Raw genomic sequence first — 17,286 nt, forward strand, 5'->3', positions numbered from 1 at the left:
CTTTTTCCTTCCTAGCTCATTATCAAACCTGACATCTAGTAATTGTAGTTGCTATTAGGCAGTGTCTGTTTCATTTTTAGGTGGTTACTAGACTTTGAGCTCTTTGAAGACAGGGATTGAGTCTCACTCATATTCTCTTTTCTTGAATTCTTTCCTTTCTTCCATAAATAGTACGTGATTTTCCACTTTGGGCCAGGCACAGTATTCTTAACGTGCTCATATCTTCATGCCTAATATGGTGCCTGGTACAAAGCAAGCAATAAACATGAATGATGGAATGAGTCAACCAGTGAATCAAAGGTTTAGTTCAAACAAGTTAAGCCCTCCCTATGGTCTAGGAGCTTCGAGAGGATCAACACCTTTTCTAACTTTTGCTTTTTACCATATTCTAGTTCCTTTTTTGTTTCACCCTCTGACAGAGAGAAGCTGAGTGGGAACAGGCTGCCACATTTTTGTAGGATATATCATCCAACTGGTGAATCACCCAGGCCCTTGATTTGGCTTACTATTTAACTTTTTTTTTTTTCTTTTTTTTTTTTAGATGGGCTGTCACTCTGTCAACCTAGGCTAGAGTGCAGTGGTGCAACTTTGGCCTGCTGCAGCTTCAACCTCATGTGCTCAAGCAATCCTGCTACCTCAGCCTCCAGAGTATGGGACTACAGGTACAGTCCAGCATGGCAGGATAATTTTTATATATTTTGTAGAGACGGGGTCTGTCTTTGTTTTCCAGGCTGGTCTCGAATTACTGGGTTCAAGCAATCCTCCGGCCTCAGCCTCCAAAAGTGCTGGGATTATAGGCATGAACCACCATGCTCGGCCTATTTGACCATTTTAATGTTCTTATTAACTTGCTCTCCTGGGTGGTAGGAAGATCATGGCATGGAGTCCAAGGTTCTCTCACTTGCAAGTGTCCTTTGTGCACTTCGCTGAGTGTCCTTGTCCTCATCTGTAAAAAGGAGATGGTGATATTTAGTCTTGTGAGAAACTACTTGAGAGAAGTATTATAAGTACCTGGTTACTTGATGTAGTCCTTGGCAAAGGGTGGATTCTCCAAAATTATATCTTCCTATTTCTTTCATTCAACACCCACTCAGCCAGGATAAGACCATACCAGAGCAAGGAGGGGGACTATAAATAACAGCAAAAGGACAATATCTGCAGAGAAAGTAGGGAGCTGGAACACTGACTAAAGGAAAGTTTTCATATTACCCTGTGAATTGTTGGACAAATCATTCATTGTTTTTTGTTTGTCTGTTTGTTTTTTGAGACAGAGCCTCACTCTGTCATCCAGGCTGGAGTGTGCAGTGGCACAACTTCGGCTCACTGCAACCTCTGCCTCCCAGGTTCAAGTGATTCTCCTGCCTCAGCCTCCCAAGTAGCTGGGATTACAGGCATGCGCCACCACGCTCGGCTAATTTTTTTTTAATTTTTTTTTTTTGAGACGGAGTCTTGCTCTGTCGCCCAGCCTGGAGTGCAGTGGTGTGATCTCAGCTCATTGCAACCTCTGCCTCCCTGGTTGAAGCGATTTTCCTGCCTCAGCCTCCTGAGTAAACTGGGATTACAGGCATGTTCCACCACACCCAGCTAATTTTTGTATTTTTAGTGGAGACGGGGTTTCACCATGTTGGCCAGGCTGGTCTTGAACTCCTGACCTCAAATGATCCACCCACCTCAGCTGCCCAAAGTGCTGGGATTATAGGCGTGAGCCACTGCGCCTGGCCTGGCTCATTGTTTTTATATATAAAACTTACATATTTTCTTTCCTATGGGAGTGTTGTGATTACTAAATGAGAGAATGAATGCGTAGTCATTCTTCAAGGGATTGTCACACAGGGAAGCTTCAATATGTTTGGGTAACAGTAATATTATATGATCCATTTTCATTTCTATCAATTTGGTCAGCTAAACTGTACTTTAATTCTGAGATTCTTTAACTCCGACAGCTGGTCCAGACTGGCATAGGTCCTGGGGGCAATGACAGAGTCCAGATGTCCCCATGGGCATGACTTGCAAATTATGTACTTTGACAGAATATGGTGAGGACAAGAACCAGACCATGCAGCACTATTTTCACGCCAGCTGCAGAGTCTAAATGTGTTTCCTGACACCTCAGAACCTTCTTGGGGGAGGGCATTCTGGGCTGGGTGATGGGACATGCTGGGATTTTGTTGCTCTCCTTCCCTTGTGGGTCTTAATGGAAAAGCTAAGTCACCAGCAACAGAGAAATAGCGGTGTCAGGCATTGTTGAAACTTTCCATGTATTCTCATGACACATCATTTCCAGTTATAAAAAAGAGTGGAGGTGTTGGGCTCTGTTGCCTAATCGTGGTAAGAAGTCCCTTTTACTAGAATGCATTTTTTCATCACAGCATCATGGTCAATGATCAACCATGTGAACTTGTGTAAGTTGCATAAACTTTTCAGTATCTTGACGTCTCTGTGGGAAAAGATGGAGGCCATATGTGGGAGAACAAAATCATGATTAGAGACATGGGAGAGAATAGGGCTTCAGAGTGCAGCTCCACTTCAGACCAGTGCATGGCATAGTACACATTGCCTGAACTCTCTGAGACTCAGTTTTCTCTCCTGCTAAATGGAAGTGATAGTTGGTCCATTTTATGGAGCCGATGTAAGGACTAAAAGTTATAATGCATATAATGTCCTTTGTCTGGCACACATTAAAGGATCAACCCACTTCTGCTACCATTATTATTAGGAACAAATACTTACTAAGAACCTACCATATTCAATATCACCTGAGTGCATTTTCATATTCAATTCTCACAATGACACAAGGAGATATTATCCTAATGTTGACTGTGAAAAAAATTAGACCTGGAGGGTTCAAGTCACTTGCCCAGATTCACATGGGTGTGAGTGGCAGAGTTGGAACTTAAACCAAGAATTTTTGATACCAAAACCTATTGATGATCTTTCCACTGAAAGATACTGACTAGATGTCACCTTGCTTTCCCTGTCAAATGCTAATCAGAGATCAATGACTAATCAAATGGAACTAATTAATTCTGAGTCAACAAATATTTATAGAGCCCCTGGTATTTGCCGAGTGCCATGGAGATGAGAGCTACCATGGACAAAAGGATGGTCACCCAATCCTCGGTGGTACAGGACTTCTGTAAATGCCCCAGGAGGTCTTCCCTTTTTCCCAGGTTGATGCCTTCTGAATCACTTCTGTCCATTCACTGCTTTGTCAGCAGCAGTTTACTTGACTGTTACCTTGGGTAATTCCTTGAGCTTATTTATTTACTATTTTTGAGATGGAGTCTGACTCTGTTGCCCAGGCTGGGGTGCAATGGTGCAATCTTGGTTCACTGCAACCTCCACCTCCCGGGTTCAAGCGATTCTTCTGCCTCAGCCTCCTGAGTATCTGGGATTACAGGCATTTGCCACCATGCCCAGCTAATTTTTGTATTTTTAGTAGAGATGAGGTTTCACCATGTTGGCCAGGCTGGTCTCAAATTCCTGACCTCAAGTGATCCACCCACCTCAGCCTTCCAAAGTGGTGGCATTACAGATGTGAACCACCATGCCTGGCCTCCTTGAGCTTCTTGAGAGCAGGCACTGGATCTTTCTTCTTTGCTACTTTCTCTGCAACACACTGCCTGGTACATACTAAATGCCAAAATCTTATTGACAGGCTTGCAGCGAGGAATGAGCATCTACCTTGCTGGTTAGATTGCTTTTATCCAGAGTGGTGATCCCTGGGGAGATGTTTTGCACTTGGCCTCGTGGCAGATGGGTAACAAGTGCTGGATCCCAGAGGAATGATGCATTCAACAAGTCCTGAGTTTTATCTATAGTGCCATGCAGTGAGTTCCTCCTGCTCCTACTGCCATGGGCCTTGGGATGCACCTTGAGCACTGACCCCACCTTGTCATGCTTCCTATGTGATAAGTTTCCTTCTGCAGCCAGATAGCTCTTTGACTCAATATTACATCAGTATTATAAACTGAGTAATTGTGTTTTCCTTCCTCCAATCAACATGTTGAAGTCCTCCTTCCCAATGTGATGGTATTAGGAGGTGGGGCCTTTGAAAGGTAATTAGGATTAAATGAGGTAATCAGGGTGAAACCCTTATGAATAGAATTAGTGTCCTTATAAGAGTCATGAGAAAGCTTGTTTTCACTTCTGCCATGTGAGGACACAGAGAGAAGATGATCCTCTGTGAACCAGGAAGAGAGGGCCTTCATGAAATTCTAGATCTTGGAGTTTTTGATCTTAGACTTCTCTGACCCCAGACTATAAGAAATAAGTATTTTTTGTTTAAGCCACCAGTTTATGGTATTTTTGTTATAGCAGCCCAAATGGACTAAGACACTCAGAAACCTTCCTGTGGCCTCCTGGAAGACCTTTACTATCCTGCAATTTCTCCAGGGCTGTCAGAAATTTAGACTTCAGTGTGGTTCCAGAACTAGTGTGCAGAAATATAAGGCAAAGCTCATAACCATCCTCCAGTGTTCAGGCTCAGCATAAGCCCTCTAGGAAACCTTTGTACCTTTCTTTGGGCCTCCCCCACCATAGCCCTCATCATGCTATGATTAATTGCTCAATTATCTTTCTCTCTACATTGTCGGTTATTTTTAGCTTTAATTAGTTTGCCAGATAAATGTATCAGCTACAAGCCCTTAGAGGACTTAGAAGTCTGGAAACTTTGGAGAAACTGTTTATAGGACTGGCAGTTTCTGATGGAGAACATAGGAAGTAGAAAGAAAATATCTGGGTAGTCTTTGGATATTCCCCAGTGAGGGTCTCTGAGACTGATATGATTGAGCAGCTTTATGAATAAGACCCAAGAGGAAAGGCTGGAGAAAATGAGTAAAACAAAGGGAAATTTTACGTACGTTTTTTTGCCCATGAGCTAGTCATGAAAGGGAGAATCAAATGTGATCTCATCAAAGATGTTCCCCCTTGAGATCATAACTATATATATATATATATATATTTTTTGAGACAGCCTCTCTGTCACCCAGGTTGGAGTGCAGTGGCATGATGTCGGCTCCCTGCAACCTTTGCCTCCTGGGTTCAAGCGATTCTTGTGCTTTAGCACTGAGTAGCTGGGATTACAGGTATGAGCCACCACACCCAGCCCATAATCATATATTCTTAAGTGGGTGTGTGTGCATAGGTATGTGTGCATGTGTTTTGCTTTTCAACCTAAAAGCGATCATACAATATGTCAACAGCCTTGTGTGTTAAGCACAACAGAGTTCCTCTCATTCGTAAATGAAGAGTCTGAGGCTTGAGACTTGGTTTGCCCAAGTCCAGTAGCATTAATACAGGCAGCCAGGTCTTCAGATAGCTGCCCAATTCCCTTTTCGCATCTCAAATATGTGAGGTCTTCAGACACCTTGGAGATAATATTTGCTCTCACCTCTTTCCTCAAAGAATTAAATGTGACTTGCCATCTTGAGTTTTGTTACAAAAGATTGTAATGCTATTCAATAGTGGTATCATATGTTATTTACCATGGAAAAAGATGGCAAAAACTCCCCCTGAGGAACTGCACTAAAAGTAAAAGATCAAGACCAAGGGAAGAGAAAATACAAATATTCGAACCCTATGTATCTAACATGATTAATATATCCGAGATACATATGCGGCTCTGGTTACCAGAAGCCAAAGAAGAAAAGGGAAGAAGATTCATTTATTTGTCCTTAGGAAAATAGCAGTTCCCCAGTCAAAGAAATATTTTGCAAGCACTTAGATCTCAGAGAGGTCATTTAAAAGGCCTTTAGCATTTATTCAACAAATACTTATTTACTAGCTACTATGTACCAGGCACCATGCTAAGATATGAATATACATAATGAAGAAACAATGTCCTTGTTTCTGTGAAGCCAAGTCTAGTGAGGGAGAAAGATGTTAAAATTATACTCTTCTATATATTATGATATGGTCAGTGATATCTTTTGGCTCTGCGTCCCCACCCAAATCCCACCTTGAATTGAAATAATCCCCACATGTCAAGGGCAAGGCCAGCTGGAAGCAATTGGATCTTGGGGCAGTTTCCCTTATGCTGTTCTTGTGATAATGAGTGAGTGTCACAAGATCTGATGGTTTCATAAGTGTCTGGCATTTCCCCTGCTTGCACTCATTTTCTTTCCTGCTGGCCTGTGAAGCAGTGCCTTCCACCATAATTGTAAGTTTCCTGAGACCTCCCCAGACATGTGGAACTGTGAGTCAATTAAACCTCTTTTCTTTATAAATTACCCAGTCTCCAGTATTTCTTCATAGCACTGTGAGAACAGACTAATACAGTCAGTAATGGAAAAGAGTAAGATGATGGGAGAGAATTTGAAAGGATTTGGTTTAGCTAGAAGATAGCTCTTGTTAAAGTGATACTATAGCTGAGATTGAAAGCTAACTAGGTTTTAAAAATTTGGAGCATTAAGAAGAATAGTGTTCAGCAAGAACAGCAGATGTGAAGGTCCCAAGTCAAGTACAAGACTGATGTATTCCAGAAACTTTTAAGGACAGTGTGTTAGTGTGAATTTCAGAGGCCAAGGAGGAGAATAGTCTGGGATGAGCCCTGAGAGTAGCAGGAGCCCAGTCCCCTTCCCTGCAGAGCTTTGCTAATGTTGGTGAGATGTGGTCTGGAGAGAGACATTAAAACTACTGAAGGATTTCAAGAGAGAAAGTGGCTGTCAGATTTGCATTTAAGACTATTGCTCTGGCTATTGGAAATGATAGCAAGAAAAGTGGGTGAAAACAAGAGTGCAAGTCTGGAAACTAGAAGGAGGTTATGGAAGAGGCACCTTTGCCAGAGATTAGGGTGATCTGGAAATACGATAGAAAATAGACATTCTAGGACGGGCACAGTGGCTCACGCCTGTAATCCCAGCACTTTGGGAGACCGAGGTGGGTGGATCACGAGGTCAGGAGATCGAGATCATCCTGGCTAACACGGTGAAACCCCGTCTCTACTAAAAATACCAAAATTAGCCGGGCGTGGTGGCGGGCGCCTGTAGTCCCAGCCACTTGGGAGGCTGAGGCAGGAGAATGGCAGGTGAACCCAGGAGGCAGAGCTTGCAGTGAGCCGAGATCGCACCACTGCATTCCAGCCTGGGTGCAGAGCAAGACTCCATCTCTAAAAAAAAAAAAAAAGAAAAAAGAAAAGAAAATAGACATTCTAGAGTTAAAAACTCAACAAGCTTGATGCAACCATCTTGTTTCAGGGGAAGGCAATTACTGCACAGAGAATAATCATGGACAATGCCCCTCAAACCTCCACATCCCCAAAATCAGGACATATAGAAGGTTGGAGCAAAAATATAACCTTGGCTAAAATAATTAATAGTGTTCTTCTTGATTCAATTTGCAGGAGACATTCAGAGAAAATATCCACACTCAAAACTGAAATATGAGTGCCACACAGTCATTGCAGCTCACATCTGGGAATTTTCACCAAGCAACTGAAAAAAAGGCTATTTTCAGTTCTTTCATATGCTCTTTTTGTCATAAGTTGGGTTCGGGGGGTGGGGTTCAGAACCACAGTTGCTGTGGTGAGAGAAGCAAATTTGACAGCTTCTGGCAGAGCAAAGCACAAGTATTTCCTGCAGAGTTTTTCAAAGTAAATGGGTCTCCCTCCCTGGGCAGATACTGGCAATCCTTGATGACTCACTTCTGAGGGGCTTAGCCCATCAAGGATTCAAAGAGAGGGAGAGGCCTGGCACCAGGCCCAGTGCTGGTGACAAAGTGGCTTCTTGCCTGCTTTTTTGTAGTTGCTCCAGTGGGCACATCTGTGCCCGGAATTTGTCATGAGACAATGAGGGTTTGTTCCCTGTATCCGAAATGATGACTTCATGATTCTTTTATGGCAGAGTAAGAGTTGGAGCAGAGGAGATAGAGGATTAATGGAGTTAAAGGAGCATATTACAAAGATTGAGTTTCATATTGGTTAAGATCTGGAATGCTTTCTATCTGGCAAACTGTAAAATCCAAAGCATTAATTACATTGACAATAAGGACCCAAGTGTCCTCCCATTTAGCTGTTTTCAAAAGGTATTATGAGTATCCAAGCTGTCAGGGTGATGTGTGTAGACTTTTTTTCCTTTCCTGTGTCAAAAGCATGATGTTGAGCAGTGGCTTTTAACATTTTTGACAATAACCCATAGTCAGAAGTACCTTTTTTTTTTATTGTGACTCTCAACACACACATGTAGTGGAAAAAGTTTAATAAAAAATACCACTGCAATAAGTAACACACACAGTTTCTATGATATTTTACTTATTAAATTATTTCCTGTGTAAAAATGTGCCTGTGACCCAGTAGATTGTTTTCATGACTCTCTAACAGGTTGTGACCTGCAATTGGAAGACATAGATATTGAGGAAAGAACACAGGTCTTGGCTGTTGAGGCTCATGACCTACCTCCCCAGCTGTAGGAGATTTTTCTGTGCTTTAGTATATGAGTAAGCATGAGAGAGGTGATGCTTCAGTAATACACACTCCCAACATTTCAGTGGCTTAAAACAACAAAAGTTTATTTCACACTCATGCTATAATGGAGGCTTGACTCCATATGATGCAGAGATCCAGGCTGCAGGAGCCTTCACATCAACCCTACTTTCTCCTCATCTGCTGCAAGAGCAATTTTACTTCTAGCTCTGACTCTTTTTTTTTTTTTTGCTGTATGGAGCTGGGCAAGTCATAGAACCAGGGCTGACTTTATGTGCATGTGACTTAGGCAGTTGTATAGGGCCTGGTGCTCAGAAGGGCCTTGTGGCTTGGCTTACTACTCTGCTGTCACTGCCTTGAAAGTCTTAATAATTTTTTAACAAGAAGGCTCTTTTTGCACCAGGCCACACAAATTATGTAGGTCATTTGCATACAATCTTTTCTAAGTCTCCATTTCCTCATCTGTAAAATGGGTTAATAGAGAAGAACTCATAGCATTCTTAAGAGGACTAAAAGAAAGAGCATAGTACATACACATGTAGTTTTCAACTTGCTGCCTTTATCTTCAGTAGTACCGCTACAGAAAACTTTTACTTAATCAAGTTAGACTTCTCACCTTGAAAAGCTGTACTTCCTTATGTTGCCCTCCCTACTCCCTTCTGTTTATCTAAATTTTGTTCATTATTCAGGGCTCTACTCTAACACCTCCTCAGGGTCCTCTTCCATGACTGTCCAAGCTGTTTTCAGAACCCCTACCCCATTAATTGTGGATCCCTTCTTTATGACTCACTTACTTTTGTTTCCTCTTCTCCTTTGGACCCTTCCTTGGTTAGGATCCCTCCTACCTCGCCTGGAACATTAAACAGCCTCCCCATTAGTAACCCTTTTAGTAGCCCCTCTCCAGTTTGCCCTCCAGTTCCACTCTCCATCATACCAGGGTCATCTTCCTGTTACCCCGAAATGTCTTTTCTATCATGCCATTTCAGTTTTCAGAGACTTCAGTGGCTCTTCTCACCTAAAGGGCACTGCCCTTAGTCTTGCATTTAGGATCTGGCTCTCAGGCCACATTTTGGGTCTCATTTTCCTCCACTCCACTCACACACTGCTCCTGCATTCCTGCTCTACACCATCTCTGGAATAGAGCTTATTCTCCTGCCTTTGGTTCTTTGTACATTCTCTTCCTTCTACTAAGATGGCCTGCCACCATAGGCGTGGTGGCTCATGTCTGTAATCCAATCACTTTGGGAGGCTGAGGCAGGTGGATCACCTGAGGTCAGGAGTTCGAGACCAGCCTGGCCAATATGGCGAAACCCTGTCTCTACTAAAAACACAAAAATTAGCTCGGTGTGGTGGCTCGCGCCTATAGTTCCAGCTACTCAGGAGGCTGAGGCAGGAGAATCACTTGGACCTGGGAGGTGGAGGTTGCCGTGAGCCGAGATTATGCCACTGCACTCCAGCCCGGGCAACAGAGGGAGACTCCATCTCAAATATAAATAAATAAATAAAATGGCCTGCCCCAAGATTTACCCCACACCCCTGAAATAATCCAATCTACCTTTTACTGCTTGGCTGAAATCCTATCTCCTCAAAGACCTCCTGTGCCAGCTCAGGATGAAAAGTCTCCCTTATTCCTTGGAATCCCTATGGCATTTCTTAGAATCTGACATATATCCTGTATGTGTGGGGCAATTCCCCCAACATCTTGGTTGCCTTTTCTGCTGGGTCTGTGTTCCAGGGAATAAGGACAAAAACAAAATATGGCTAGAGTTTCAGTCACACTTCGTAGGAACTCCCTGGAATGAAGGGTTCCTGCAGAGATTGCCTGGGGCCCTTCCCGATCCCCTCAGCTGTTCTGAATCATCATCCTCCTCTGGGTTCTCCAGGAATTTTGTACATTCTTCTAACATAGCACTGACTACTTTCCATTTGAGTTATTTCTTGACATGACTGGATCCCCCACGAGGCATATCTTATTCATTATTGCAGTTCTAACAGGGACTGGTGTCAACAGTGAATGGATGGATTGATTGAAGGATAGAGACTAGAGAGGAAGGAAAGTTGCTGGGGAGGAGATTCCCTGTATATGTAAGTGTGAGACAAGGTGGGCTGTAATAACAACCTCTTACTGGCACAAAGCAACAAATATGTATTTCTCATTCATATTCATGTCCACTGTGAGTTGGCCAAAATTCTACTCCACTGCCTTTTTTTTTTTTTTTTTTTGGAGACAGGGTTTGTTCTTTTTTATAGCCTGGAGCATAGTGACATGATCACAGCTCACTGCAGCCTTGAGCTCCCATACTCAAACAATCCACCTCAGCCTCCCAAGTAGTTGGGACCACAGGCCTGTACCACCATGCCTGGCTACATTTTAAGATTGTTTTGTGGAGACAGGGTCTCTCACTATGTTGCTTAGGCTGGTCTAGAACTCCTGGGCTCAAGTGATCCTCTCGCCTCAGCCTCCCAAAGTATTGGGATTACAGGTGTGAGCCACTGCGCCTGTATTCCCTCTTCATCCTACAACCAAGCCTGATGGAGAATCCCTAATCTGGGGCATGCCATTCAGTGGCAGAAGGAAAGGAAAGATGGCAGAGACACACAATGGCTCTCAGAGCATCTGTGAAGAAATGGCTCATGTCATTTCAACTGACATCTTGTTGACCAAAGCAAGTCTTGTGGCCACAGGAAGGATAACACTCTCAAAGGGATGAGCACAGGAGAAAGAGGCAGTGAGTATTTTGACAAGGACACAATCTTCTACAGTGGGGGCAGAGCTTCATGTGGAATTCCACTCACATAATGCTCTTTGTCTGTCTGCATACCCACACTCGTTCTGACCAGGGAAGAAGGAGGGGGCCATCTACTTGGTGATTCCAGGAGCTGGATGTGCAGGGCGTTGCATCTGTCTCTCCTCTTGCTATTGAGCATAAGCTGCCTCTAGCGGGCATGCTTTCTACCTTGCCCTCTCAGGGATTGAGGGATAGACTCTCTGGATATATGGTTGTCTACAACTTGGTAGGTAGGTCTGTCTAATCCTGGAGCTCCATTTATTCATCCGCAGAGCCATATCCTCCAATTTGAGATCTACAAGTAACAACGGTGGTTTTGATTCCCGCCATTGCCTTTACTCCTCTGCCTTAATTTTCAATTGGTTTCAAGCTTGGAAAAGAAAGAGAGTTCAATTTTTTGATCTCTCTCTCATATCTCCATAACAGACTTTGCAGAAATATCAGGTCAGGTCCTGTTACTGATGTGTTCATTCTCATGGGCAGGAAGAGACACTTCAGTGTTGCTGCTGCCAGGATTGTTTCACTTAAAGGAACTCTCTAGCTGTCAGAGAAAGAGTGATACTCTGAAAATAGTCTCTAACATGCTGCTTCCTGCTCTAGGATCATCTTATAGAAAAGACACTATGTTCATCCTGAGCCAACCTGGTCCCTTTATAGTCAGATACTAGAGAACAATGAGAAATGGACATGGGGGATATCTTTAGCGAACATCCTTAGTGAGGATCTGTCTCTTCTTTTCCTGTTGGGCATGAGCTGCTTCTAGAGAGCATGCTTTCTACATTGCCACCCACCCCACCCCACCCTGAGGGATCCAGGAATAGACTCTCCAAATCCAGGGATGTGTACAACTTGGTAGGTAGGTTGGGTAGGGAGAGTGTTTTGCACAAGCTAGAGCTGGGGTTCATATGTGTCTGGCAAGTGGAGTTAATGGTACTGTTTTCTATCAAGTGTCCAGTTGCATAAGTTGTTATACAAAGACGGTGCTTTAGCTTTTAACTGGAGGAAGAGGGGGACATACTGACATGTGGGACAGAGGGTAGAGAAGGAAGAGGTAAAATTGAGAGGGAATAACGTGATTAATTTCCACTCAGCCTGGCCCGATGAGAGACTGTGAGGGTGCTATCTAAAGCTTAAGGAATCATGTTTATGAAAAAACTGTAAGATTTTGGGAAGCAGCAGCGCTCTTTGGAGATTGGCAACAAATATGACAATTTACTCAAAAGATTTTTATTTCTGGTGGTTCTAGACTGAGTGACAGCATTGGACAAAGATGTGTGGAGCAGGATGGTAGCTGGAGGAGTGCCAGAGAGAGACCCGGGATCTCACCAAGGTTACAGTGTCTGTGGCTTTGCGAAGATTCCTCCTAAAATTCTGCTCATGGAAGGATTTCAAAGAAAGACTGAGTGAACTTGTTCCTGAGAATGCTTGAAGGGACGGGGAAACATTAAAAAATAAAGACTGGGTTATTGGAAATTGATGGTGGTGTTGGTGGGGGTTGTTAAGAACTACCGTTATTTACACACTGATGAACTTGTGACCTCATCTATATTCACAGGCTGCTGGTCTCTGAGCTATTGAGTCCACCTACTTATAGGGATGTTCTTTATATTGGGGTGAATGTTTTGCTTGTGATATATCACTCTGTATTAGTTTCCTATTGCTGATTTAACAAATTAGCACAAACTTAGTGACCTCAAACACACACACACATACACACAAACTCACACACACATTTATTATCTTACAATTCTGGCAGTCAGAAGTCCTAAGTCAGCCTCACGGGCTAAAATTAAGGTGTCAGCAAGCTATGTTCCTTTTGGAGGCTCTAGAGGAGAGTTTTTTTGCTTGTTTGTTTGTTTGTTTGTTTTACGTTTTCTAGATTCTGTGACTGCCTGCTGTCCTTGGCTCATGGCCTTTTCCTCATTATCAAAGACGACAGTACAGTATCTTTCAGCCTTTCTCCTAACTCTGATCCTCTTGACTCCATTTCATAAAAGCCATTTATCTCAATATCTTCATCTCAATATCCTTAACTTAATCACATCTGCAAAGGTTTTTTTTTTTTTTTTTTTTTTTTTTTTTTTTTAACATATAAGGTAACGTCTCCCGGGGAGCATTATTCAGCCTGCTATATTCTCCAAATAGTTTTCATTGGCTTTGGTTTCATCTTATCAAGAGGAGATCAATTCAACCTTTACTTTGTACCCATTGAGTGCCTTTTGTCTGCTAGAAATTTTTCAGGCTTTATTTCAATCAACCCCCACTGTGATTCTGCGAAGTAGGTATTTATGTGCATTCTATGAATGAGGAAACAGGGTTGCATGCAAATTGATCTGGCTTAAAAACTCACTCTTTCTTTACAACTTTAAATATTTCATCTCCAGAACTACTATATTGTCATGATTGAAATGACTGGATGAGAAATACTCAGAAATTTCAAGTCCCTGCTCCCCTGGTGGCTACAGAAGTACAGTTGAGAGGCCTTTCAGTATTTCTTAATAGACAGCCACCTTCCCTCTGCCTGGAGTAGATGAGATTCCTGACTCCTGTCTTTCTTCTGAGACTCTGCCCAGGATACCCTAGTTTTGCGGAACTGACACACCCAAATGTCCTGAATGAGTCATAAACTCTTCCCGAAGCTAACATGTGATGAGGAGGGAAGGCTCTTTCTGCCACAGCCTGTGAAATGGTTTCCATTACAGTGTTTCTGCTGAGAGCAGCAATTCTGTCTTTATCCTCTTTCCCATGACTACAGAGCCTCCAACATCTGACTGAGTTGACAGAAGAGTGAGGGGGACACTGGAAAAAGTCCCAGGCTGGAGGCCAGGGGACCTGGAGGCCGATATTGTCATTGCCTCTGACTAGTCCTATGCTCTTGAGCAAGCTGCTCCAGTGTCTGAGTCTCTGGTCTCATTTGGACTAAAAGTCTTGGTCCTTCTTTGTGCTTACAATTTAAAGGATCCCTGCATAGCCAAACGGTACCATTCTTAATGGCATGAACAATATCAGAAAGACTTTAGATAACATTCATTTGGAGATAACTTTGCCATGTGCTTCACTCCCTCTCAACCGGCAATATGGCAGAGTGGTTAAGAGTGTAGAATCTGCATTAAAATTCCAGTTCTGCCTTTTTTGACTGGTTTATCTTGGGCAAGCCGCTTAGCCCCTGTGTCTTATATTCTTCATCTATCCAATGGGGATAATGATAAAGATGATGTTCTCCCCCGAGGGTTTTGATGACTGCTAGTTAGACCAGCACTGACCACTGTTCAGTCCAATGAAAGTACTTGTCTCATGCCCTGCTATTCATTCTTCCTCAATCTCCCGTAGAGAAAGAGACTTCAGCTTTAAACTCAGAGTCTTTATAATAGGCCATCAGCTGTGTGACCTTAGGCAACTCAATTCAACTCTCTGATCTTCAGGATTTTTCAACTTTAAAATAAGGATAACAATAAGAGCAACTTCATGGTGAAGGGGGATAAGGATTAATAAAACAACACATGTAATATTTCTAGGAGAATGCCTGGCATATGGAAAATGTTTGCTCCCTTTAGATGTTATCCTCGTCTTGTGTGAATCTTAAAATTTCTAGCCTGCTTCAGATTTAATTCCATTTTCTTTCTAAGATGTGAGAAAACATAATTTGATATTTCAGGCCAAGTTAAGCTTTTTTATTGAGCTCACACAGTTGTAAATATGTACATTAAAGTATGTCCTCATGAAGAACAAAGGGCATGGATTTTTCCAGCACCCTCCATCCCCCAACTCACAGCCTCAACATCCGCAAATAATTAATGCATAGAGGAAGTTTACGGTTGGCCACCCAAATGCATCTCAAACATTAAATTTAAAAAACTAAAAGGATGAACCCAGAAAACTGCTATAAACTTCAAAGAATCTATTAAGGACTTAGACATATGGTGTTAAAAGATATGTCCAAGATTTATGGCACTGGGCCTACAAAAAAGAATTCTGGATAGGCTTCTGCTATGTGAAATATCAGGAAAGGGTCAGCAGAGGTGAGCTCTGTGTCCCCAACTGCCTGGAGTGACCTCACGAGCAGAATCAGATAGCAGTGGACTTAGCTCAGTTCTTGGCTCCTCCAGATGCAAGCCAAACTTCAATGCTTAGGGCAGCGAGAATGTACTGGACAGAGAGCCGCTAAAGATAGGAGAAGATAGATCAGATATGTTTTGCATTTAGGTCCTTTCTTTTTTTTTTCTACCTGGAACACAGGCAGTGATAATTATGGCCACTAACCATATTGAGCAATTGAGCAATTGCAATGTGTTAGATGGTTTTACATTGAATTTAATTTATACCTCATAACAAACTGTAAAGAATGTACTACCGTTTTCTTCTTCTAGAGGGGAAGAAACTGAGGCTCAACAAGTTTAAGAAAGTTTCTGGGAGACATATAGCACACAAACATAAAACCAGAATTTGAATACACATCTATTTCATGATGGACTACTTTTGTGGAACTGTTAAAGGAAACAAGTAATGGCCGAAATGAATGGTTTAGTCATTGATCTGCTTGAAGGCTGAGCAGCAGATCAAATGGCCTCTTGGACACCCAAGATTTTGGGAGTCTAAGACTCTGCCTTTCTGAATTGCATACCTTATATGTCTACATGAGTCCTTCCAAATAAGCTGCTCAGCACCCCTGGTCCATAGATCCTTTGTAATTATTGCCTCCTCTCAAAAGCACAACATTGATTTTATCCACCTGGAAGTTACTGTCTGCCTGCTTTTAGATAGAGAGCAAATCTCCTCTTTGAACAAATTCATACAAAACTCTCACTATAGTCGGGACCCAGGATATGTTTTAAAATTGATTAGAAGTGTTCCTTGAGCTTTTATTTCCCTTCTGTTTGTGGAGGAAGGAACAGAAATATTTCCAACTTACCTTATACAATAATGACTGTTACAGGTATGACCTCAGACCCAGAGTTTGGGGATGGAATTTTCTGCCTTTGATCTTGGTTTGTACTGTCTCTAAGATGTGACATCTCTTCTACACTGTTGCCACCCAGCATCCATCTGTCATATTCCAAACTGCCAATGTGTGTCACCCAAAACATTAGATGACCTAGTTGTTCTCCCTGCCTAGAGCCTTGCCTCCTCTAATTCACTTCATTTAAAAAGAAAGACATTTATCTTATAAAAGAATACAAGCATACGGAAAAGTACCTAATAATATAGTAAATAACTGTATTGCCTACTGTTAGCAACTTTTAAATTACATATAGATGCATCAATAAAGGCAATATATAGTATTGTTGTAAACACATTTAAACCTGGTTTAAATTTTATCACATTACACAAACCATTAAGTGAGTTTCTTTTTAAAAACTCAACATCATGTTTTAAGAATTAGCTCTGTTAATATATGTAGATAGTTTATTCATTTTTAACTGCTCTATGGAGTACCTTTGTGTGAATATTCCACAATTGAATTAATCCACTCTCTTACTGGTATGCATTATTTGTTGTTATAAACAACACTGCAATAAGCATCCTTGTACACATTTCTTTGTGCATATTTGCACAAGTAACTGTGGAGTACATACCTAGATATAGAATTTCCAGACACATAATATTGTCATATTTATATTTACTAAAGAATATCAAATTTACTTTCTCAACAGCGTTGAATGAGTTTCCATTGCCCTACATTCTTACCAATAATTGGTATTGTCAGATATTTGACAATCTTATGGGTTTGACAAAGGGTTTCGTTTCCTAACTTTGTGTTTGTTAGTGAGGAAAATTAATTCACATTTATTTATTAGATTTTAATTCAAATTTATTAGTGAGAATAATTATCTTTTGTATGCATATTGGCTACTGGGATTTTCTCTCTCGTGATTTGCCTGTTTGTGTCATTGTGATTTTTTTTGTCTTGAATTTTTAATATTTAATCTGTTGATTTGTAGAAATTTTTATCCCTGCATGGTATGTGTACTAATTTTGACACAAAACTTGCAAATAACTTCTTCAAGTCTGTGGTTTATTGTTTACATCTTTTTGGAGATATATTTATCATTTACAAGATTTTTAGCTTTACCATAGTCA

The 17,286-nt window shown here is 41.8% G+C and overlaps 2 long non-coding RNA genes across 2 annotated transcripts in view; both read left to right on the forward strand.

Annotated features, from left to right (window-relative positions):
• DELEC1 (deleted in esophageal cancer 1) overlaps positions 1-17,286 on the forward strand; it is a 260,827-nt gene that overhangs the window by 15,236 nt on the left and 228,305 nt on the right. The window lies entirely within an intron of this gene.
• Positions 341-12,681, forward strand: LOC124902257 (uncharacterized). Its single transcript, XR_007061748.1, has 2 exons — positions 341-662; positions 12,455-12,681. It is a non-coding gene; the product is annotated as an uncharacterized LOC124902257 (long non-coding RNA).

Source organism: Homo sapiens, chromosome 9 (genome assembly GCF_000001405.40).
Source record: "Homo sapiens chromosome 9, GRCh38.p14 Primary Assembly".
Lineage (NCBI taxonomy): Eukaryota > Metazoa > Chordata > Mammalia > Primates > Hominidae > Homo > Homo sapiens.